The sequence below is a fragment of the Homo sapiens genome, chromosome 12, assembly GCF_000001405.40.
Source record: "Homo sapiens chromosome 12, GRCh38.p14 Primary Assembly".
NCBI classification, from domain to species: Eukaryota; Metazoa; Chordata; class Mammalia; order Primates; family Hominidae; genus Homo; species Homo sapiens.
The window spans coordinates 40451448-40477742 of NC_000012.12; the positions used below are offsets into that span (position 1 = coordinate 40451448).

The following is a 26295-nucleotide window of genomic DNA, read 5'->3' on the forward strand; positions in this document are numbered from 1 at the left end:
TTTAGAATTTTAGCGCAGAATTTCTGGTGAAGGTTAAACTATTTATTAGATATTAGTTATACTGGTAAATCCGACAGTTCATACATTTCACTCATTAGAGCTAATCTTCTATACAAAGATAGAGTGTAAAACCAAGACTATTATTGGATTATAAATTGATATCATAATATAGAATTATGACTATAATTTAAAACGTTTTCTATATCTTAGTATTGTCTGAGTTATTTTTTAATCAATATATTTTTATATTAAAGGAGTAAATATATGTATATCTTAAAGCATCAGCCATCAGTGCACAATATTATTAAAAATACCGAAAACAGCATGCTACTTCCTGTCAAACTTTCTCTTATGTTGGATACCATTAGCAACACAAAGCATTACTAGCTCTTTCAATGTAAATCTCAGAAAGCCTGACACATTTCACAAATGTTCTTCTTCAGTCTGTAATCATAAATTCATTTCAGAAGACCAATAACAATTTCATCCCAATGGTTTTTTGAATTATTTCTTACACACTGCAGAGTAATTTTCTAGTTACATATTACCCTCAGTCACAAGCAGTGGACTACATCCCTAATTCTCAGCCTGGTTCTGTTTCAAAGATGATTAATTTGGTTCAGTTACTAAGTTCTCCTTTAGTCAAAGTCATTCATCAGCTATTAAAACTTTTGAATCTTGTGATCATTTAAAGAAATAATTTTTTCCTTGATTTGATGAACTGCATAGATATGCATGAATCATAAGCAGCTTAGATAACAATTTCATCTATTTCTTCAGTATCATGATGATGATATCTATATCCTATATCACAATACTTACCTAAAACTATTAAAAGTGGTTTGATTTTTCTAGCTTATATATATATATATATATATTTTCATTTCAAACACCTAGTTTTGAATGTAATATTCAGTTTTGTCAACCACTTTGTACTGTAGCAAGCAAACTGTCCATGGAAAACAGAAGAACATAAGTAGATTACCCTGACAGGGTTTTTGTGAGAAACTGATTAAGTTTTGGATGTAATATTTTGTCTCATTTACTGTAAAACACTATAAAAATCTTATCAGTCATCTTCATGGCAGCATTTTAAAAATTATAAATCAAATGCAGAGTTGAATTATAGGAAAGATTACCTGGGTGATTTTTTCCCTGAATTCATTTGGCATTATTTATGACTTTTGTGCTTTGCCTTACTGAATCCTAATGTTTTATTTTATTTCCCTGAAATTCTGGTAGATATTTCATGCTCTGTAAGCATAATATTAATAATTAACAAAATGCTATGTTAGTATTTTATTGAAAGATATCCTAAAATGACTTTTATTGAGGATTTACCTCATTCTAGTCATTATATTAAATATTTTTCATTCAGCATCTCATTAAATCTGAATCCTCTGATTGTTATTCTGCACAGTCCTCCTCACCTCATCATTTTATAGGTGAGGAAATGCAAAGAGCTTAAGTAACATTTTCAGGGTTATAAGGATCAGAAGGAAAAGGACTTTCTGGCATGATCTAGAGAGAAGTCAGGATTGGTTTTCTTTTCCTTGTTATCCTTGAAAGCCAGAAACCGTAGTCAACATCATTCTAAAATCAGGAGACAAAGAAGTATAAAAATGTTTATTTTTTCCCTCATATTAAAATTTTCCAATTGTGCCACAAAATGTATGTGTTTCAAATAAACTTAGTCAAGTAATCCCAAGGTACAGAAAACATTATCAAATTATCAAATTAATAATATATTCCCAGCATTTATTAATAATGTATGTGTAGCTTATCTTGTTGCTGGAACAGATTAGGAAGTGCTAATTTTCCAGATAAACTGAAGCATACAAAACTTTAATTAAATTTTAGTTAGATGTATCAAATTTCAATTAAAAATAATGATCAGTGGTAAGAATTAGAGGTAATTCTTAGTTCCTTATCTTTTCTGAGGCTATGACCATATCACACTATACAGATGGGCATTTAGAAATCATTCAAATAATGATTAACTTAGTTTTCCTTTAAATCTGTGACTTGAGGGCTTGGAGCATACCAGTTGGCCATCTTTGTTGATTCAATTAACTGGAAATCATAAATAGTCTACTTCAACTTGTGCTAGGGACTTGGACTGAGTACAAACTATTCAAAATAAAACGTGATATTTCTGAATTTTAACAACTAAGAGATGACATGCCGATTTTCTTATGACCGAGGAATCATGATCATTTATATAAAGTGAGGATGGTAATCAGAAGAAACCCAGAAAGTGCTAGATAGGTGTTTACTGATATTTTTATTTTGGAGCTCCAAAGGAAAAAAAGTCACATCTATTATTTTTCATTTTTCATGTAAGAATAAAACATTTTCCTTTAAGAGATACCAACTTATTTTTTCTTTTTACACTCTTTTTCTTTCTAAATTCATCCAATAAACATTATGCCATTGTGAAAACAAAACAGTTTAAGTTGTTTACTTATGGAATTCTTTTTAAAAGAAATAAAGGTCTTTTGTAGGCAATTGTTTTGCACAAATTGTAGGCTTGAAAGATGCATCCTATTTCTTTTACTGACAATGGTGGCGTAAAAGTGGAATTGACAAATTGTGATGAATCCATAACTACAAAATGATTTTTGTTTTTAAGTCTTCTAGTGGTAAGCCTCACTTGATCAGTGATGAGAACAATGAATCCCACATTTGTTTTATTTTAAAATAAATGTTTGGATATCATCACTAGCAAAGGGTTTTTTTTTGTTTGTTTCTTTCAAAATATAGTATGCATAAACCAAAGATATTTAAATAGAGATTGAAAAGTAAAAGGTTATATTCAGGTATAATATAACTAAGAAGACACTTCATTTCAAATATGTATTGCCTTTCCATGAGCTATCTATAATAAATGAAAAGATTTGTTTCTTGGACATGGGAACCCATTTCATTTTGGATAATATATTAGTGCTTTTGAGCAGAACCAATATGATAAGTGGGATAAATTAACTTAGTTAAAACTTTCCTACTTTTACTTTTTGCTTTGTCTTAAAATAAATCAATTAAACATAAAAACCTATAATTATTGAACACAAAGGTAAGATTTATTTTAAAAAGAGTCTCAGTGGGGCAGTGGGCTAGGGAGTGCAGGTTTTTGCCACTAACTTGTTCTCTGGATAAGTACTGAATAGAAGACAAGGTATGACTTCATTGTTGAATAGATCTTAAGTTTTTTGTTGGGGTAAATAGCATAGAAGTAAAGGGTAACTTTTGAGGAGTTTAGAAAAACATCACAGAAAACTCTAAAGTGAAAGGGAAGCAATATGCAAACTTTAATTTCTCCACATGCTTTCTGTATCAATTTTCTTTTCCATACAGTGAATGCTTTCAAAGGGCTAAAATACCCTGAGAGATGCCTAACCATTCTAATAAACATGCTATTTTTAGAAGAAAAATTATGCAGTTATGGGGCTTTTCCTCTTTAGATTGACTGATCTTGATACAGAGCTAATATTTACTGAGCGCTACTTTGCGTATATGGCATATACTATCTGATTTGATACAGAAAATTCCCTGAAGTGATGCCATCATTTCCCCCTATTTACAAATGAATAAATGGAAACACAAAGAGGTTAAGTTATACATTCAAGGTTACTTGCTAATAAGTTGCAGAGATAATTAAAATTCAGAACATATTTCCTAGACTCCAGTCCTAATGCCCCTGTGTTTCCATGTTTAAAGAAGAGGATGAAGTTGAATTTAATTTAAATCAGTTATTGAAGTAGCAACATGTAATTACAGATTCTGATTTCAAATTGGGACTTACGTTAAAATCATAGGTTGTTTAGTAGGTTTATATTAAAACAAAAAATCCCCCTTTTGAATGAGTATGTATGATACTGACATATAATTTAAAAGTGGGTTTCTGTTACACAACAATATAATCTGTTAAAATGCATATTTGCTCAAAAATTTAAAATCTTAGAATGTTACCACTGTTAAGTTATATATAAATTTTGTTTATACAATGTGCTTATTATAAAATAGCATCAATCATAAAAAAACAGAATCGCATCAGGCAAAGGGAGGTAGATGAGTATAGTGGAATGTGGAATTCGAGAAATAAGAATTTGAATCCCTCCCCTTAAAGTTTGACCCTGTTTTAAGTCCCTCAAGCAGCCTGAGGTTTAAGTGTTCTCATCTGTGAAGTGGGAACTAATAATAATCTCTACATGGAAAGATTTGAGAAAACAGTAAATGTAATAGTGCAGCTTAGTGTAATACATAGTAAGTATTCAGTAAAGGCAACTTTATTATTGGTGAATTTTATAAGGAATAATTAACTAGGTGAATGAGTTTAATACTTTTTCAGTTACTAATCAGAAACATACTGCTTCCTGAATTAAAGCCAATTTTATGAATTTTTAAATTTTTTCAGAATAAGATATTTTGCAAAAGCTATAGCTCTGCAGTACTGAATTTGTTGTTTATAAGGCGAAATGTTATGGATACTCCTGAAGCTTATCTTTCAGACATGTATTTTAAGTAAAATAAAATTCATTGAAAAAAATGCCAAAATATTTTTTCCTTGTAAAAATTAAAACGATTCTTAGAAGTAATTTAAAAACTTAGTGGTAGCTAGAAAATTAATTAAAAGACTTTATATTAAGTTTATAACGAGGTGAAACACAAGTGGAGAAAGCCACTTGGAAAAGTTTTTAGGGTGGAGTATCATACTACCATGTAGGCATGCAGAGCTTTTAGTGTTTCAGTAAAGGCAGCTCCTCCTATTACTATTTACGTCTTGTCCACAAAGAAGCTGATGCATATAATTGACAGTATCAAGTACTTCCAGCATGTATGTTCATTTGCAAGTAATGGAAAAATCAGTTGAAACTGTAATGGTTATGGATGTAAAAATTAATGAGAACGGGAATGCTGTCTCTATCAGTTTTGGTAATTAAACCCAGAAGAAAAGTGAGTTCTCATGTATTCCTGTCAGCAAAGGCTTATGCCTACTTTTATTGCTGTATCAATAATTTCAGATTACATCTTCTGAAATTCATTCATGGGAAAAAGGAGCTATATCATAGTAGCCTGACTGGTATGCACTCCAGTCTGTGCCTAGTTTAGATAATTCTACGACCCTGATTAAAGATCGGTCCTCGAAATGCACGTGAGCATGTTGCCATCTCAGCAACATCAATTATAAGGAAAGGCCTATAAATATGTTCTTCTGTGCATATGGTAAAAATAGTGATGATCAGCGCACTACCACCTACGATGTGCAACTGTGTTCTTGAATCCATGTTGATTAGAGCATATTTATTTAGATGTGTAAATATTGGAGATTTGATTTTATTCCACATGATAATGCTGCTTTTAATTAAATGTAATCGTCTTCAATTTGAAAGTGCTCAAACTGGATCACTGGAATTCCATAAAGTTTAAATCAATACTGGGAAATGGAATCTGCACCAAAATCTTTGGGAATATCAGGGTCTATCTATTCTTCCACATCATTCTAATCTTGATAGTCTCTGTGGATCATGGCATAACAATCTTTCCATGCTATTCTTACAATTAGATCAGCAAGATACTTTGATTCAAATGTCCAACTATTGTGCTCATTAGTGAGAAAAGATATTAAGATCTGATTTGGTCAGTTGGTGGAGTCTGTGTGATACTGATTTTGAAAATTCTTAACTAAACCTTGTCAGCTCTTGAGAACTGTCACAAAAACTTTTTCTTAAACTACTTACCATACTTATTTAAATATACATTCTGTAAAGAAATTTGGGGAGACAGGATATTTTATTGTTTACTTGATATTGTGTTCTACAATTTCTAGTCTAATTTTTAATATTTCCATTAACAAGATGAAGGGGTAATTAAGAAAACTTGAAAAGTGCAAGAGGTGATGTGTTATACACACAGGCAGAATAACATAAAAAGCAGTATAGGTCACAGTCCTGATTACTGGGTGACTTACATTTGAGTCCTAGTTTTGTCACTAACCAGCAGTGTGATCTTGAACAAATCACTCAACTTTTCTGAGCCCCATTCTCTATAAGAAAAATGGGTAAAATATTTTTACTCCATTCATTCATTCAGTCTATGAACAAATACTTATCAAGCTCTTATTATGTGCTAGGCACTCTTATAGGCCTTGGAGATACTAAAGTGAATAAAATTGATGTGGTTTCTGCCTTTATAAAGCCTACAGACTAGTCAGGAATATGGATATCAATTAAGTAATTACAAAAACAAATGGAAACTTACATCAACACAAGAGCTATGGAGTACCTAAAAGGGCATGGGATGAGAGGGAAGGGATTTAATCCTGTCAAGGAGCTCAGGAAAGACTGAAGAAAAGATGATTGAGTTGAGAACTGACCAATGAAAGCTCAACTAGGAGAAGAGGAGGAAAGAACCATGTTCCAAGTACAGAGAACTGCAAACAGCAGGTAGAAAAGATAGAAAGACCAGTGTGGCTGGATGAGGAGTGAGGATCAAATAGATTGTGTGAGAAGTTTGTTTCTCTCCTTCTTTTTTTGAAGTTCCAAAACACTATAAAATTGCAAAATGGTATTGTTTACATAAAGTAAGCAATGGATTTCCATGGATTTTTCAATGAAAATTAACACTGAAATAGAGAAAATACCTGACTATTTATTATTTATGAAAACCTCAAATTAATAAAGGCTTATTTTTAAGTGCATAGGCCCTCAATAAACATTTGATGAGTTTTATCACATCCCTGGCAATGGGCAGGCATTGGGAATACAAAGGTAAAACATGGCCTCTTCCTTCAGGAGTTCACTGATAATCCACAACAGCTGTTTAGGGTAAATTCAAATTTATTTTTATAAACCTGCTATATCAAATCATAAATATAAATTTTAAAAAATATTTCTCCTTTTCCCTCCAAGTCCTTATAGACTAAGTGTTACTCAATATAAAAATATCCAAGCTGCAGACAACCAGAAGCTAAGAAATGTTGAAAAAACCATAAACTGCAAAAATCAGCCTCTGCTTAACAGAGAATTTATTGCCATTGTTGATATACATTCCATTTACTTTGTATTTAGTAGAATTCAGCATATGTGTATGTGTGTGTATATATACATTGGAAAGTACATCATGTATGTCACTATTTTAAAAATGAAATATAAATTTATTATTAACTCTAAACACTAAATATATTACAAATTACTCTATATTGAAAACTACACGACAGCAGAACAATCTCTCTAGTATTTTTTCCTTGAGGTTGGAAAAATTCACATTTCTGTTTTCCTTTTTAGGAACAACTCTAGGTCCTCTCACCGAACCTTTTACTACAGGTCAGTATATTAATTCCTGGTTTTACATGTTAAATAAAAATATCCAACTCTATAAATTATTAGTCACTTTGGGTTTTAAGAAAGAATTTATAGGACAGTTTGGCTTTAGAAAAAATATTTCAAACAAGTAGTTTACTAGGTTTTTACCACTGGTTTTAAATTTTTCTTAAAAACCTTGAATTTTACTTGTTTTCGATCAGTTTATATTGACTGGCTATAGAAACATGGTTTCTAGTTTGATTTTCTTCTTTATCATTAACTATTAACATAGCATCTGCAACAGTAGTAAATATCTTTAATTTTTTTTTAAAGAATATGGGTTGCACATCTAATAACATATGTTACTCTCTTAGCTTTCTAAGCCTAAAAGTAGCAATTAACTATTTCATGATAGTGTTTCTTTATTGTTATTATCAGTGCCAGGCAACAGTGATTAGGGCATAAAGATCTGCTTATTTTATTTTATTTTTAAATTTTAAAAATTATTTTCAAAAATGTGGATACATAGTAGATATATACATATATAGCATACATGAGATATTTTGATACAGGCATGTCATGTGAAATAAGCACATCATGGAGAATGGGGTATCCATCCCCTCAAGCATTTACCCTTTGTGTTCTAAATAATCCAATTATGTTCCTTATTTTAAAATATATAATTATTATTGGCTATAGTCACCCTATTGTGCTATCAAATAGTAGGTCTTATTCATTCTTTTAATTTTTTTGTACCCATTAACCATCCCCACCTCTCCCTCACCCCTCACTACACTTCCTAGCTCTAGTAACCATCCTTCTACATTCTGTGGTCATGAGTTCAATGGATTTGATTTTTCTAGATCCCACAAAGTAAGAACATGTGATGTTTGTCTTTCTGTGCCTGGTTTATTTCACTTAACATAATGATCTCTCATTCCATCCATGTTGTTGCAAATGACTGAATCCCATTCTTTTTTATGGCTGAATAGTACTCCATTTCGTATATTGTTTATCCAGTCATCTGTTGCTGGACACTTAGGTTGCTTCTAGATCTTAACTATTGTAAACAGTGCTGTCACAAATATAAGAGTGCAGATATGTCTTTGGTACACTGATTTTCTTTCTTTTGGCTATATGCTCAGCAGTGGGATTGCTGGATCATATGGTAGCTCAATATTTAGTTTTTGGAGGAACCTCCAAACTGTTCTCCACAGTGGCTGTAGGTTCTGCTTATTTTAAAACAGTTATTTAGAAAAATATATGAAGACCTAGTGTGACTCAGTTCAAGATGCAGAAAGCTATATTTGTAAAAAAGAAAAAAAGGCAATGATATTAAAAGAAATTCTTAGGGAACTCAAGGCAGAAAGTCACTGGCTTTACTGATTCTATTTTCTATAGTAAAATTGATTAAACAGTTAACTCACTCCATGGCAATAAAGTCCTAATAGACTTCAGATGAGAAGTTAATTTTATGTTTTCTCAGGCATTACTGAAACTTCAGTTCCCATCATCTCAACATCTGGAAATGCAGGCATGACAGGAGTAGTGAGCCCCACCGTCACTGGTGCTTCAGGCATGGCAGGTAAATTAAATTCAGAACAAAGTATACCAGCCTCAGCTAAGCAACTCATTTTAGGAGATGCTACTCAGGACAATATTTTGCAAAATAAAAGTATTAGAGTTAGGTGATTATTCCTCATATGTAATTGAAATGTCATATCTTTAGTCTTTTCACAAGTTGCTTCCTTAAAGTATATCATGTTACAATTATATGTGATCATGACCTCGATAGTTGTTGGCACCTATGCATTTTTTTTTTTTTTTTAGCCAGATGTTTGTTTTTTCTTTACATTTATCAGGGACAACTGGAGTGTTACCAGGTATAACCACAGGAGCTGAACATGGAAATTTAAGTGACTTCAGAACAGATGAGACAAATAAATGAGTCAAATACTATCTCTTCCATAGCCGATTTCTACTAGGAATCCTCTGTTTCAACTTGGCAACAACTTTACCCTGAGTACAACATTATATAACAGGGCCAAATGTCAGAGCTATTGAAGTCAGCTAAATGACCATGGAGAAAAATTCAATGATTAATATTTAATAAAATACTAATGATATGTTTCTGTGGCACAGGAAGATTTCTGAATTGTCTTCAAATATGTAGTATGTAATTTAATCAACAATTACACCACGGTAGTTATCTGTTGTTATTCGCAGTAGGTGAGAAAATAATAAAAGGTCTCCAAGCTGGAAGAGGCAGGTTTAGAACACAGAATCCTGTCTGGTGTGGAATAGCTAGCTCCACAGCTCTGTGTGTGTATAAAAACCTAGATCCAACAAAAGCCAATGAGGATATGCTTGCCGTACACATCATTGACTGAATTTTAACTACTGTTGGTTTCATGAATAAAATATTATTGGTTTCCTTAAGCAGAGGTAATTTGGATAGAAAACAAAAAAGCCACAATTCACCCCTGTCCACCATGCAATCAGCTACTAATTTTAAGTATCTCTTAAGTTTCTTCTCTGCATCAATTTGCCTCTGCTTTTGTTCAGATGTTAAACATTTTCAACCTAGCCTCCACCTTGCTCACCTTCCTCCAAACACAATGGTGTTTAAAGTGTGGTTTCTGGACCAGCAGCATCAGCATCTTCTGGGAATTCGTTAGAAATGAAAATATCTGGGCCCACCTGCCTAAAATCAGAAGCTATTGGAGTGGAGCCCAGCAAACACTTTACTAACAAGTCCATGCAACAGATGCTCATCAAAGTGGAAAACTACTGCTCTAACATTTCCACTCCTTTCTCGCTTCCCTCCCAATCTATGCTGCCGTCAATACCATGGCAGAATGGACTTCCAAAATCTCAACTATCATCATGTCACTCCACTACTTACAATTCTTCAATTGTTCTGATTGCTTTTAATATAAATCAAAACTTCTTTACATACATACGTGGGTTAAAAGCCATTTCTTTAGTGTATACATGGAACTATTTCTCTTTATGCATTTGCTAACAAATCCATGGCCTAATTTTATTTTTTCTACATTTACTTTCCCTTAGCAATTTTCTTGATTTAAACGTTATAACTTAAACACTTTTTGGAATAAGATATAATTTACGTAACAATTAATGGTTTAAAGGATATAATCAATGTACACTAGCACAAATTAAGAAACTGGTTCATTCCAATTAGGTCAGTAAACTTAAATTTTAGAGTAATGACCATTTGTTTACATTTCTTAAAACCTGCATCAAAATTACTTGGATAATAATGATAAGTCAATCAGCTATCTCTTTTGGTTATGAGGCAGTATGTATAAGGATTTTGAGCAGGGCTACTCAAAGTTTGGTCGACAGATGAATACAAGCCAGATTGTTACCAGTTTTTGATGTAATAAGAAATGAAACAGAGACTAAGCATTTAAAAACATAGCAATTTTACAGGATGATTTTTGTCTATTAAATAAAGACTTGTGTTTCATATGGTTTTACTTTTAAAAATTTCATTTCTCTATTTTATGGCCTTTTTCAAAGTATCCATCTAGCACACACTGGAAATTTTACAAAATTGATCTTTTGCTACAGATTGTTTGAGAAGCACAGGTAGAAGTATTAACTGTAGGTAGACTGCTTGAATTTGGCTCCTGGATCTGCTGTCAACCAACTTGGTGACCTGAAGCAAATCATTTAATCACATCTAATAAATAAGAATAATATTATGACTTGTTTCAGAGGAATTTTATAAGAGTAAATGAGTTGGTTTATGTGTAGGACATTTTTTTTTTTTTTTTTTTGAGATGGAGTTTCATTCTCGTTGCCCAGGCTGGAGTGTAGTGGTGTGATCTTTGCTTACTGCAACCTCCGCCTCCCGGGTTCAAGCGATTTTCCTGCTTCAGCCTCCTGAGTACAGGCACCCGCCACCAGGCCCGGTTAATTTTTGTATTTTTAGTAGAGACAGGGTTTCGCCATGTTCGCCAGGCTGGTCTTGAACTCCTGACCTCAGGTGAGCCACCTGCCTCTGCCTCCAAAAGTGCTGGGATTACAGGTGTGAGCCACTGCGCCCAGCCAGGGAATTTTTAAAAATATATATATTTTTAAAATCAAAAGTAACCAGAGGCCCTCCTGCCCTAACAAGGAGAGGAGAGGAGGGCAACACACCCAGGGGACCAAGCAAAGGAGCTACAACCCCAGGACAATCACGCAAGTCAGGACACGTGTTTTAGATCTTGTTAAATGGGTGTAGTCAAAACATGCTTTAGCACCTGATAAATGGGCATAAGCAAAACATGTAAGCTGCTCAAGAAACTTGAAATTTGACTTGAATCTCCCAGTCTTTTCCTTCAGAAGTACCATATGTTGAAATTACTGCTACTGTGTTTGTCAGGTACAACTGGAAGATCCATGGGCACTACCACAGGAGCAGGCAGGGGAAGCACACCTGGAGTGTCAGGCACTGGGGCCACCAGCCCTGGGAACCCAGCAGGCAAGACAGAGACCCTTTTGGGGGCTGTGATTGGGGTCTAACACAAGCTTTCCCAAGACCCCAGAATACGATAACGAGATTAAGTAAAGAAAACCAAGGACGATATTTTAGGAAAACGACATGAAACTGAATATCCTGAAAGAATTTTTTTTGCTAACTATCCATATATATTAAGCACCATTATTCTTCCAAGTAGGAACAACTGGAGGAGTGGATGCAGCCACCACTGGAGCTGCTAGTGAAAATACATCTGAGAGAGCAGGTACTGGAAGAGCAAAATCATCATGATGCTGTCCTATGGACACGTGACCTTTCTGCTCAAAAGTTAGTCAGAAACAAGGTTTCTTGGGGAATCCAAACATTATGTAAGGCTGTGTGTCCAGAAGATCAGAACTATACCAACAAGTATATGCTGTATATCTAATACTGTGATAGATTCTCTGCGGGATACAAGAAAAGAATAGGGACATACATTTGTTCTCACTCTACTTTACTATAGAGAGGAAGGAATAAATATTCCTACAGATGTAGATGATAAAGACTAAGAAAGGCAGGAGTTAATCAAACAAATAAAAGATGCATGCTGGAGCATAAGGCAATTCTAGTAAGAAGAGACAAGATAATTCAATGCTGAACTACTCAATGTTGAACAATGAATTATCTGCATGATTACTATATTTTACAAAGAAAGACTCCTTTATTATAATCAGTACAATATCAGAGTTTCCTGATTTATCTGATTTACCTTGAACAAGAACTTAGGATATTTATGAGATAGATTCATTTTTTAAAGGAAAAAAATGTATATTTTAGGTCACTTTTATAAGGATTTAACTTTCTTAGCAGACATTGTTTTTTTCCATGATAAAAAATTAGGCACACCGAGGGTATCTGGAGAAACCCCTGCAGTCGGAGGTGGCAGTACCCCTGGAGAAGCAGGCCCTGGAGCCACAGTTTCTGGTAAGATCAACCAGGCTGGACATAATGTCTCAGAAGCTCCCAACCATACCTCCCACACTAAGTGATGCTGTGTAAATTCAGGCTAGAACTAGTATTAGAATGCAGGGCTGAGGAAAGTTGGAGGGATAGTTTCTTTCACTTCCTTTTTCTGGAAACTTCCAAGTAGTCATAGTAACAGAAGTAATAACATGCATACCTGCTCCTGTCTTGGTTTCAGGAAGTACAGGAGTTTCTGCAGGCTCCATCACTGCCAGCCCTGGAGCCTCAGCCACAAGCTCTGAAAGCAGCAAATCAGGTAAGTAAAAGGGAAAAGTCAGTGAGTGTGCAGGAGTAAAATGGAGCATGTGGATCTGCCCACATTTTCTTTATTTAGCAGCACTGTAAAGAATGAGAAGAACTGGAGTTAGGAAGCCCAGTTACTGACCACAGGTATTGCAGGTAGTAATCGGCCATGCAGATTCAGACAGAGGTTCCTGTGCTGGAACTTCTGAGTCTGTGAGTCTGGAGTGGGGCTAGGGTCATAGTTTGCAATCCTAACTACAAATTAGAATCAACTAGAGAAATGTTTGAAAATACATATTGAAGAATCCTTCACAGACTAATTGAATCTGTCCCTGGAAGAAGGGACCAGGCATTAAATATTTTTTAAAAGCCTCATGGGTCCCACATGCAACCTGGGTTGAGAACCGCTAGGTTCAAATATCTGAATATTGAACAAGTAAATAATAAACAAGCTTATTTACAAGGAATAAGTAAATAAGCACTCTGAGGGATGCCAACAATCATATACGATTCTTATGATCAATTTTTGGAAAGAATGAGCCATTTCTGGAAATGAAGAAGTGTAAACAAAAGGTATTTTGAAAGCAGAGAGTAGCACCCTATGTTCTGCTAAATCAAAGATCATGATACATATTTATTGTCTATTTTGAAAGGAACTACTGGACCCTCAGTGGGTGGAAAAACTGGAGCCACAAGCAGTGAAGCGACATCATCTGAAGGCATGTCAGGTGAGTAGAGGATGTCATTCCGAGGCTGTGGCTTTTGGTGAAAAGGACAATATTTCATCAGACCTCTGCAAATTTCACTAAGTATAAATGCCATCCAACAAAAGATAGAATGGTATATAACTTATTAACATTTTTCAAGAAAAGTTTTAATTTATGCTTTCTCTAAATATTTCCTTCAAAACTACTATGGCACTGGGTTGTCACAATAATGTATATGCACTCCCAATACTGTGTTTGTCAGGTGTAACAGGACAGTCTCTTGGATCTACTGCTGGATCTGACAGTGAAATCACAGCTAAAACATCTTTCACTGGTTCCAGTCCACCTGGGAAACTCACCAGGCCAAGCCCGGGCTCACCTGGTCACTTTAGTGGTGGTGAGTCAGAAACCTAGTTGGAACTTCAGATTCTTATAAGTTTAAGTGAATTTAGAAGGGATGTAATTTTACAACAAATGATCATGGATAGTTTAAGTAGACCACCTACCTCTTTAAAGAAACCCTGAAATTTGTTCAAAGAGTTACTTCATTGTAACCTTTTATGTAGACTAGGCTTGCCAGAGAAAATATAGGAAACCAGTTAATTTGAATTTCACACAAATCAGGAACAGTTCTTTTAGAATGAGTATGTCCCATGCAATAATCAAAACACAGTGTTTATTGTTTGTCTTGGATTCATATTTAACTGGGTGCCCTGTATTTTTATTTCATGATTTTGAAAACTCTGATGCAGACTGAGCACTGTTGCTCTTTTCAATTAGGAACAACTGAATGGGGAAATGTAGCCACCACTGGAGCTGCTGGTGAAAACACTTCTGGAGCATTGGGTATGGAAAGAGCATAATCAGAATAAATCTAGACAGTAGAAGTGTAATTTTTTTTAAATTACAAAATTAAAATTTTGTCGGAGACAAGTTTTCCTGGGGAATTTAATTATTATTATTTGTGTAATGTCAAAACTGCAGAAGATCAGAAATAAATCAAGAAATATTTGTTGTGTGTTCAGTATTATCCTGGGGGATACAGACAACATAAAAGAGGAGTTGAGTAAGGTATTTGTTCTCATAGAACTTCATTTCTGAGCAAAAGAAATTAATATTTATAATACACACAAAAGCAAAACCATGCAAGGCAAAAGATAATCAAAGTGGAGGAATTGTTCAATGACACGCATTGGAGTAAGACTTGAGAGGCAATTCTAGTAAAGTGACTGATTAATTTGATTAAAACAACAGAATTATTCTATTTTGAAAAGAATGTATTATAATCAGTGCACTACAAGCTGTGTCTGTATGCCTCAACTTGAACAAAAACTCAAAATACAAGGAAGCTGAGTGAAATTTTAAGAATCTATCCAACTGCAAGGGAATAAAAAGTAGTTATTCAGGTTTTGGGGAAGGAGGATTAAAAACAAAATGTTCTTCGAATCCAGAACCCCCTGCACAAAGGTAGTACAGAATAAAATATAGGTTTATTATTGAATAAGCATTAAAACAGAATATGATGCACATCAGAGGCAGTCTGTTAAGAGACTGCAAAGTCAGAGAGATATTTCACTCTTTTATATTATATAGCCAAGCAGGTATGACCTACTACACACATGTTCTCAATATAAATGATTATAGTCTTCAAGTAGAAGGACTTGAAAGCACCATTTATTACACATAGTTCACCCTAAATTCGTCTCTGGAAATGAAGCAAGTGAGTAAGCTGAATCTGTGAAGAACCTTCCTTAACCTAATTTCTTACATATTATATCTCTGTTGTAAATATCTGATGACCTGGTTAAATATTCAAACACACTAAAAATCCTTTTATCACAAGCAGAATGTAATTTAATTAGTCATAGTATCAACCTGATCCTTAATTTGCACTGACACTAGTAGAATCGAATAGGATTTAAGCTCAAGAAACCAATGGAAAAATTAAAAAAAAAAAAACCAGGAAAATAGTGGCTGCATAAATTAGAGTCTATAGATACCTCTTTCTTCAAATCATAAAGATCAAAACAGAGCCCACACCTACGGTGTGTAGAGGAGACAGAGAAGAGCCAGACTCCAAAAACTGGGAACGATGGCTCTGAGGCTCACCATAGGGCTGAAATATAGGTAAGGGCATCACAGAAAATAGAGAAGTATAGAGAGGTCCTAATAGTGGTAGAATACCATGATTCTAGTGGTTCAATCAACTAGAGTTGAGCCTCAAAAGGAAAGCCCCACAACTTGAGTGGAAAATGCTGAGAGAAAATCTGGGACCTGGCAGGTCAGAGAGCCCTCATGAATGGAGTTGGAAGAGTACTGGAGAATGCATGGAAGTCTTTGGACAGGGGAGCAACCCTTGGAGCCTGGGTGCCAAAGGAAAAAAATAGGTATGGAAAAATAAGGGTCTCAATAAAACAAGATAGTGATGAAAGCATCAGAAGACAGACAAGGAAAACGTGCCACTTATAAACGAAGCTCCCTCACTGTAAGAACGTAAGAGGGGAGCCCTTTATCTGAGAAATCTGGGAAGTATACTGAAGCCTCCCTGCTGCCCCCTGCGTAGAATCTCCCGCTATTACTGGCCCACAAAACAATAATAATAATAATAATAATAATAATAATAAAGAAATTCCAGTATCGATACACAGCTATTCCTTTATATACATTTTCAAAAACTTTGCATCAATAGCAAGCAAATTCTAAAGATCTAGTCATGAAGCAAAAGAATACAAAAACATAACATTAACGTAAAATAACTAAGGAAACAACCGCAGCTACAAAGATACATCAAAATTACAGATTAAAAATTAAGACTGGAAATAGATAAACAGCAGGAATGTTAAATTGGAATTGGTGAAAACCCAGGAGAAAATTGAAGAAAAAGAAAAATTATCTCAAAAGACCAAATAGCAAGGTGTTCCATTGAGAATAAATAAAACTGAAAATACAGCAAGGATATTAGAGGATAGAGCTGAGAAGAGGTAAACCCTACCCCTGAAATATTGCAGACACTTTCAGAAAAGGTATAATGGGCTAGAGAATGATATAGTTTTAGGAAACAAACAAAAGTATCCAAGATATATTATTGCCTTATCTGGAGAAGAAAAAGCAATGAAACAGAACTAATATTTAAAATTATAAATAAGGAAAAACATTCTGAATTTAGAAAAAAACCCCTAAATCTATGTAGTGAAATAACCTATCATATACCTGGAAGAATTAATCCTGAAGAGTCAATTATGCAAAGTATTCTGAAAAACAATTGGACTTGCTGTACTCATAGATAACAGGTAGTAAGTAGTCAAGCGAATTATTTAAATCTCATGAGCTAAGTACAAGAAGCTTCAGTTTACAAAAAAGGAAAAATGAGCATTCAGGAAGAAACTAATGCTTGATTATTTTTATTAATACTGATTTTTAGTGACTTTTTCAAAATTAAGGCATCTTTTAATGTAATTCATAATATTAATAGTAGATCTAAGGGAAACAAAACGACCCACAGAGGCTAAAAAGGTATTTGATAAACATTGAATAATCATTTCTGATGGGAAAAAAAGACCACTCAAAATAATAGGAATGAATGGATACTTCCTTAAAACAGGGCCAGACTTGGTGGCTCACACCTGTAAGCACTTTTGGAGGCCGAGGCAGGCGGATCACTTGAGGTCAGGAGTTTGAGACCAGCCTGGCCAACATGGCAAAACCCCGTCTCTACTAAAAATACGAAAATTAGTTGGGCATGGTGGCGGGTGCCTGTAATCCCACCTATTCGGGAGGCTGAGGCAGGAGAATTGCTTGAACCTGGGAGGCGGAGGTTACAGTGAGCTGAGATCGCACCACTGCACTCCAACCTGGGCAACAGAGTGAGACTCCATCTCACAAAAATAAATAAATAAATAAATATAAAGTACATATACCTCAGCCACACGTGTAGCATCTTAATAAGGAATTTCTAAACCTATTCCACTAACTTCAGGAACAAGGTAAGGAGATATGCAATCATACTATTATTTAACAGTTTCTGGAGTTATTAATAAATTGGATTATATAGCAATTGATAGCATGGAATTTGAAATAGAAAATATTAAAGTATTTCTATTTACAGATGATATAATAGTGTACCTGCAGAACTGTAGAGAATCAATGGAAAAACTATAAGCAGTAAGATAATTTAATAAGGTACCAAGATACAAGATTAATCTATAAAAATTAAGTCTTCATAAATACAAATAATAAGTTAAAATATATATTTGAAGAGAAAACTCCAATTTATGCAAACAACAAATAAGATAAATTACCTTGGAATAATCTGAACAAGATAAAACTTACATGAAGAAAACTTTAAAACTCTCCTTAAAGACATAAAAACATTTTTGACCAAATGGGAAGGCAATCCATATCAGCGTGCCCAAGAGCCCTTCAAGTTTTGGGACTTGCTAGAAGGACTCACAAGACTCAGTATAGAATCATACTTGTGGCTATGATTTATTGCACAAAAGGATGCCAAGCAAAATCAGCAAAGGGAAAAAGTGCATAGAGCAAATCAAAAACTAGAATAATAGAAGATGTGAATTGAATTACAGAGAAAAAGAACTATAAGTGATTCTTAAACCTCTGAGAAAATGGTCAACTTCACACAAGAAAAATGCAAATCAAAACTACACTGAGATAACATTTCTCACTTTTTAGATTGGCAGAAATTCAAAAGTGTGACAACAGCCCTGTTGACAGTTCTGGAAAGAAACAGGTGGTGCTCTGCGCATTGCTGGTGGGAGCACAAAATGTTACAGCCCGGAGGAGGATAACTTGGCAAAATCTAACAGAATTACAGACTCGTTTATCCTTTGACCCAGAAATCCCGCTTTTAGTGCTCCTGAAGCTAGACGACCAAAGTATAAAATAACATATGTATAAGCTTTTCATACCGGCATTGTTTTTTTATAGAAAGAGCCTGGAAACAACTCATTAAAGACACATTGAATAAAAGATGACAAAAAGCAGCACTAGACCATCCTAATAGAAGAGTGAGAAAGATCTCTATGGACTGATCTAGTTATTTCCAGAATTTATTGTAAAGGAAAAAAACAAATCAGAATTGTATATACCATTTATACCTTTATGAAAAAAGAGGGATGTGTGTATGTGTGTGTACATATATGTATATATGTTTTGTAAGGATATGAATTATATATACATATGCAAATATGTATACAAAAAACACAGAAGATAAACTAAAAACTAGTGAAAATCATTACTTATAGGAAACAAATCAGAACAGCAGAATTTTGAGTTCTCTGAGTATTCTTTTAAATATAATTTTGGCTTTCAAAAAGGAAAATGTCATAAGTATTTTTAAAAACACAATTAAATCAAAATAAAAAAAGCAAAACCTAAAACTGAAAACCAACCAAAACAAGTGAACCTAATTGAATATCAAATTATAATCACATGGAGAAAATAATTATTTCACGTGACTTTAACACACAGTAATTAGACAGTATATGCTAGTATCATGTATTTTAATGGCAAAAAGACTGCTAGGAAATTTTAAACTTCATTCAGTAATTTTCTTCTTAGTAGTTACATGAGTGTTCTCACTTTGAAATGGTTTTTTATATATTACAGAATAAAACAATTAGTAGTTATATGAATGTTATTAGAAATCAAGATTTTAAATGTAAGAGAAAAGAAATACAATAATTAAATCACGGCTGGATGAAGTGCTCACGCCTGAGATCCCAGTACTTTGGGAGGCTGAGGCCAGCAGACTGCTTGAGCCCAGGAGCTTAAGAGCAGCCTAGGAACACAGTGAGACCCCTATCTCTACAAAAAAAAAAAAAAATACAAAAGATTAGCTACGCATGGTGGCACATGCCTGTATCCCAGCTACTTGGGAGGTTGAAGTGGGGAATCACCTGAGCCCAGAAGTCGAGGCTGTAATGAGCAGTGATTGCACCACTGCAATCCAATTTGGGAGAAGGAGTGAGATCCTATCTCCAAAAAAAAAAAAAAAAAAAAAAAAAAAAAGAAAAGAAATCAAATAAAGTAAATTTCTTCTGTAATGTTCCATTTGAGTGAGAAATATATATATAAACTTATATATACCATTTATATAAATCTAAATATATGATATATATAGAAAATGTATATTTTTGTATATTAGAAATATATACAAACTTATTACAAATATATGTGATATACTCAAATATAGGTATAAATATATATACTTCTAATATATGGAAATCTATATCTTCCAATATAATACATTTATTATCTATATATTTATTTGTCTTTATATCTTCCATCTCTGGCCACTGAAATGGCCTAAAAGCAGTGGTACCCTAACAGTAGTGTGCACCCCTTGTCAGCCAGTTTGGGCTCCTAAATTTCTGTGTTCACTGTTGCTTGGAGAAATGGTTAATTCTAGGTCTTGGACAAGAAAAGTACAAGGTGAGCTTGGGACTTCTTAAGTCAGAAAATGAGGAAGCATTCAAAGACTTAGGGAGCTCTGCCTAAATGACAAGGGTGCTAAACTGCATGAGTTCCTGTTGGCCAAATTTGGAGAATTTTGAGCACTGAAAAAATTATTTGTAATAGATTGAGGCACATTGATAATATTGAAACATACATGACCCCAATGATAATTAATAAAAAGAAACAACCACAGCAACATTTGATAATGTTAGTGGTGACTATCATGTCAAGTCCTTATTCTGAAGATTGGTAATTCAAGAGAAAAATTAATCAATTATCAAGTATTTTTATTAGAAACTATGGATCAAGATATTCGAATAGTTCCAGTTGATCAGAGAAATCTCTCTTTTTAAAGAAAAATTCCAACTAATATATGTTGAAAAAAGACACAATTGGAAAAATCACTGTTTTGAAATGCTGAATGAAATAGACAAGGAGCATAAATAAATGCTGAAATCATTGAGTGAAAGGTTGACTAGGACTTGGATGTTTGCTTGATGCCAAAGTATCACCCAACAGATTACTTGCTAATTGCAGAATTGAAAAATGCTTTACACTGGAGAGTTCTGGTTGTCACCACCTAAACCTAGTGATCAAACATAGCATCACTGATAGTGGGGACTTGATGTTTTGTGTCTCCTTTTGTGATATATCACCTAGAAATTATTCCTGCCCAAAATGATGAACCTGAAACTAATCAAGTTCTTATATCCCTTTCTAGATATTCTAAATTTAGCTATTCTCCATGATGTCAATTAACTTATTCTTTCATCCTCTGGATGCTCTGCAAACTGAAAGTGAATATAGGAGTTTAATTGCAATACAAGACCAACCTCTTCAATGTTATAAAATAGAATTAGAATTTCTGCTTGGAAAGATAGGGAATTTGCATTTTTAATAGGCTCACCAGATGATTCTTACACACATTAATGTTGAAGAATTACTATCATTCAATATTCTCGAACAGAGAATATATTTGTGATGAAGAATATTGACCTGTTAATTGGATAAAGAGGAAACAATTGCAATATTTTAGGTAGGAGGAAGGAAGACATGAATTTGGGTGGTGAAAGTAGCCATGGAAACATCATAAATAACCAAGTTGAGTTTAACAAATTTTATCATATTACTTTTATCCTCCTCTTCCTCCCCCTCCTCTTCCTCCTCCTCCCTCTTCTTCAAAACAAAACAAAATGAAACAGGAACAACCAGAATATCAGGTGAATTGACAACACTGGCAGGAAGAATGACTGGGATGCTAGGCAGTGAGTTGGGATTTAGTATCGAGTAAATGGCTAAATAATCACAGAAGCTTATTCACTCAAATCAATTACACTGATCAGAAACAAAGCTATTGAAATACTCAGACAAAAGGATAAATAATGGGGATGTCTAAGAATGTTTAACAGTTGCCTTAATTTCCTAGAAACTTTGGAAATTAATGTAATCCTAGCTGCCTTTGTATGTTGACCAGGTTCAACAGAAGGGTCTGTGGAAGCCACCACCAGCGCAGGCAGTGGAAACACAGCTGGAACATCAGGTACTGGGGACACTGGCCCTGGTAACACAGCAGGTAAGACAAAGCACATCTAGTTGTCAGAGCAATGGTCAAACACAAAGGTCTTATATATAATTAGCATAAGTCCAAGTGAGTTTTAAAAAAAGAAGTTAATTATAAGAGAATGAGGAAAATTCTAGCAGTAATGTTTAATAATGAACTTTTGTCAAAAAGCATTTGCAGCATGGCAACAATCTATAGGCAGAACCTCGTTATTTTTCAAATTGGATACAACTGGAAGATCAGATGCCACAACCACTTTAGCTTCCCGTGAAGTCACATTTGGAATATTATTTATATCTAAAATTATGTTTAATTAGCAGAAGTGTGAGCTCTGATTTCAAAATTTAATTTATCAAAAGAGATTATGAAGAATTCAGTACTTGTAAATAGATAAATGCAAATGTTACCGAAAAGTGTGGGAATCCTCGATTCTTTTCTAACTTGGAAGAAATAATTCAGCCAAGAGATGCATAGCAAGGATTAAGTAGCAGAGTTTATTGAAGGAAGATGAAGCACATTCTTAGAGAGGAGTGGAAAACAGTTCTGAGCTGGTAGGGCTGAAAAAATAGTAGTAGCAGGGTTTATTTAAATATGAAGTACACTCTGAAACACAAGGCAGAGTGGGCTGCTTAAAAGAATGAGCCAGCAGCAGCTAGTGCTGGGGGACTGCTTTTATGAGAATCTTACCTGATTATTCATGAAGGGGCGTGAGGGGTGTATTACTTGCATGCATGTTTCAGGATGTCTCTTTGGGCGCGCATGCTCTGTCGTTGTACATGCTGGTACACACATTGTATGTCTCATTAGCATTTAAAATCTCCACCCAGGGATGTGCTTTTTACTCTTATAATGAGCAAAAGTCTACTCCAGGACAATTTTTTGGAGGAGTGTGCATGCTCCTCAGTGAGGAAAGTCCCTAACCTGATTATCTCCAGCTGGGGCCTGGTAAGTCCCCTTCAAGGCAAGAGGAGCTCAATCACAAGGCCAGAAGTAGCCAGTGTAGCTGTTGTCTTTTTTTGCTGCCTGTCAGAAGGCGGCACTGACTATGAGTTGACAGCGTCTCCAGGACTTCTTTTCCCAGGGGGCTCCCTTGCCTGCTCATTTCTGGCTATCTGCCTACTCTAACACAAACACTTGTATTTTGGTCGGACAGTATTTATTGAGAGCTTAGTAATGTGTTAGGTGCCAGAAGATGCTCTTATATTTACAAAGCTTAGAATTTTTAGAATAAAGTAATATTTAAACACATGAAAAAAGCAAAAAGTTAAGTAATACAGCAAATGGTAAATGCAGTTTGGAGAAGAATTTACTCTGGAATTATAATTTGTAGATAATTCTAGAAAGAGGCACATTCAGTGTTGAAGGCAAATAAGGATTGTGATGGGGTAATAGTGCCTTATCAGATTAACATGTATACTCTTCCTGAGCAAGAAACTATGAGTATAAATATTCTGGAAGAGATTTCCAAGTTGTTTCAGGTCACAGTGATTGAATAAAAGCGAGTTTCTTAAACTGTTTGTTTTCTCTGAAAGTCTCAGGCACACCTGTGGTATCACCTGGAGCAACTCCTGGAGCTCCAGGTAGCAGCACCCCTGGGGAAGCAGACATTGGAAACACCAGTTTTGGAAAATCAGGCAAGTCTGGACATGACTCCTTAACAGTTCTCAACCCTGCCTTCCTCAGAAGTGTGTGATGTGGACTATTGGTCAGGCTATAACTGACATTAAAAGTGTCAGAACAAAGGGAAAGCATAGGGGAGATGCCCTTAATCCACTATACTTTAGAAATCTCAGTTCTGTGCTATCAGCACAGAATAGGGACCAGTACATTTGCAGCAGTGAGCCTGAACCATTGTTGTTGATAACCAGGGACCCCAACAGTATCTGCTGCCTCAACTACCAGTAGCCCTGTGAGTAAACACACCGATGCAGCCTCAGCCACAGCAGTGACAATCTCTGGAAGCAAACCAGGTAGGTAAAATGGGAGACCCTGCACTTGCCAAGGGGCAATATGGGATGTTCGTGTGAATACTGTTCCTCAGAATCAATGTCATGTTGTTAAGCGAGTAAATCACTTAACCTCTGTAACCTCTGTTTTTGTATCTGTAAAATGTGGGTCAAAGTGATCTATTTTGTGAACTTGGGATGAGGAGCCAAGAAAATAGTGAATAGTGTAAGTCAAAGTACATTTTTCAAATGTGGAAAGGATCATTATTGTTATCGATACAGAAAAATGAAGATTTCTGTAATTTTTAGGTGGAAGTTAATTTAAGTGAGAATTGGTTATATCATAGCTTAAGAAATTCTGTGAATGCGTCCTTTCCATTTTTGCCTTTGCCACAGGTACACCTGGAACACCAGGTGGTGCAACTAGTGGAGGCAAAATTACATCTGGATGGTCCAGCAGTGGCACCAGCACGGGCGCTTCAAATACACCAGGTGAGATTAGCAAAGCACTAAAAGGTCACAAAAATGGGAGTCAGTGTAGAAATTTGTTTATAAAAGCTTATTCAGTAGGGTATTAATTCAGTTGAAAATCTTTCCTGCTTGAAACTTAGAGCACTGTTATTTAAATATTCTGTGAATCCTTTAAAGAGGTTGCCATTGTATGCTTTGTTATTCAGTATTTATGCACTATTGGGATATCAATTAGTGCAATACCTGAAATCACATATAATAAAAATGATCTGATAATTTAGATATTTTCCATTATTAAACTAGACTAGTGCAGCATTTTAAATCTGATATTGTCACATGGCCAATTTAGAAATCACTGGAATGTTACTTGATACAACCATAATGGAGTTAAGTTTTAAAAAAAAAAAGCAATAGTGACCCTCTAACACTTTATCTCATGGTTGGTCCATAATTATTGTTTTGGAGTTAAGGGCTTCTTAGGATGTATTTGCTCATTTAGTTACAATTTCATTGTCTAAGTTCTGCATTTTTCCACACAAAATCATTTAGACAACAAGCTAACATAATTCAATATAGGCTAAAATACTAAATAATTACAAAATAATATGTTAGTTATTTTTGCAGATCATTAATTAATTATATGATTTTCCCATAGTACAAACATTTGAGAATTCAATAAATTCTTCTCTGCCACGAATAATATAATATGCTGTTGGGCATTATAAGGTTACCTTACATCAGCAAGAATATTCAAATTTCAAACTAGAATTCTTTTTTTGCAATCTTTTGCAAAACACCACTGTCTTTAGTATTTGAAATTGTTGTGGTTTAAAGTATTAGCCTATTTTCCCATATGCTCTTTATTGAACAGAGACCTAGAACCTTGATGAACAGCTTTCCCCATTTCTAAGAACAATTTAATAAGCAACACTGTCTTCTGAATTGTTGAAACATTCAGAAATCAGTTTTCTTCCTAAAACCTCTACACATGGGTTTTTAAAAAGTCTTCTTTTCTAGAATTTGCAAGTAGGGTTTGTCTATAACTCATTTGCTCAAAGCTGACCTGTTGAGGAAATATGTAAACTATGCAATGGGTGTTGCAGATCCCTTGCTAAACAATGTTTGTGTCTTGTAAGACTTAACTTGCTTCAAATGACCAAAGAGATAGATTACGAATCAATTTATTTATTAATATTTGAATACTTCTCAGAAAATAAGCCAAAAAAGTGCCTGAAAAATATAATTAGTAGGATAAAAATTAGTAGATAAAACCATTCTTATATCTTAGTTTCTACTGGATATATTTAATACAATATTATTTATAATATAAACATATGAAGCAGTCATTAACCATTATATAATATCATGTATAAGTTATCTTAATCTGTTTTAACAAAAGTAAAAATGATCATCAGAAAACAACTATACAAAGTATAAAATGGACAAATGTTTTCACATATATTAACTTACTTGAATCTTACAGACACCCTATGCAGTCAATAATATATTAGTAATTATTCACATTTTATCTATGAAAAAATCCATGTGTTTACCCCAAAATCACAGGATAAGTATGTTGTTAGGCCAGGTCAGGGCCTGGATTGTTGATTCTTCATCCAGTCATTATCTTTTACTAGACAGACCACCAACATGGTGGATTTCTGTTAAAACTAGAGAAAGATCTTGTCACGTTGCCTATTTTTGTTTACAGTTGTGTTCCTAGTGCATAGCTCAGTTCCTGGTTTGGGTACTTGATAAATATCTGGTGGATATCTGGTAAATAATTCAATAAGTGAATAGTAATTCCCAGTCTGGTAAAGGATGAAGTGGTTTTATTCTTATCAGTGAGGTAAAATAACAGGTCACATGGAAGGGAAACTTCTGGAAGGATTGGAGCTGTCAGGGGGTAGTGAACTCTTTTCTGCTCTACCCAAGTAGTGGAGTTTCACTCGAAACATGTACCCATACACACATAGACACACCACTGTGCAGATCCATGTCTCTACAGATCCAAGGTTTCCATCTTCATCTGGTTCCTTAGTGGTATTCTTGATATATTAGGATCTTCAGAACCAGAGCCTTCTGGGTGATACTGGAT

General features: G+C 34.5%; 1 protein-coding gene across 1 annotated transcript in view, besides 1 other annotated feature; it reads left to right on the forward strand.

Moving 5' to 3' along the window:
* The window catches only part of MUC19 (mucin 19, oligomeric (gene/pseudogene)), a gene marked incomplete in the record, with an annotated part of 177364 nt that overhangs the window by 58054 nt on the left and 93015 nt on the right, over window positions 1-26295 (forward strand). Inside the window, 12 exon segments of the mRNA NM_173600.2 lie at window positions 7284-7322; window positions 8788-8886; window positions 11993-12058; window positions 12673-12756; window positions 12974-13051; window positions 13692-13766; window positions 14008-14142; window positions 14526-14591; window positions 21694-21792; window positions 23313-23414; window positions 23649-23750; window positions 24123-24218. Of these exon segments, the coding sequence (NP_775871.2) occupies window positions 7284-7322; window positions 8788-8886; window positions 11993-12058; window positions 12673-12756; window positions 12974-13051; window positions 13692-13766; window positions 14008-14142; window positions 14526-14591; window positions 21694-21792; window positions 23313-23414; window positions 23649-23750; window positions 24123-24218 (1041 nt within the window).
* Window positions 22989-24188: an enhancer, noted in NCBI's record as "MED14-independent group 3 enhancer chr12:40868238-40869437 (GRCh37/hg19 assembly coordinates)". NCBI's record gives its function as "activates an origin of replication core promoter dependent on BRD2, BRD4, P300/CBP and CDK7 cofactors, and independent of MED14, by STARR-seq in HCT116 cells {active_cell/tissue: HCT116}" and the evidence as "EXISTENCE:reporter gene assay evidence [ECO:0000049][PMID:35650434]".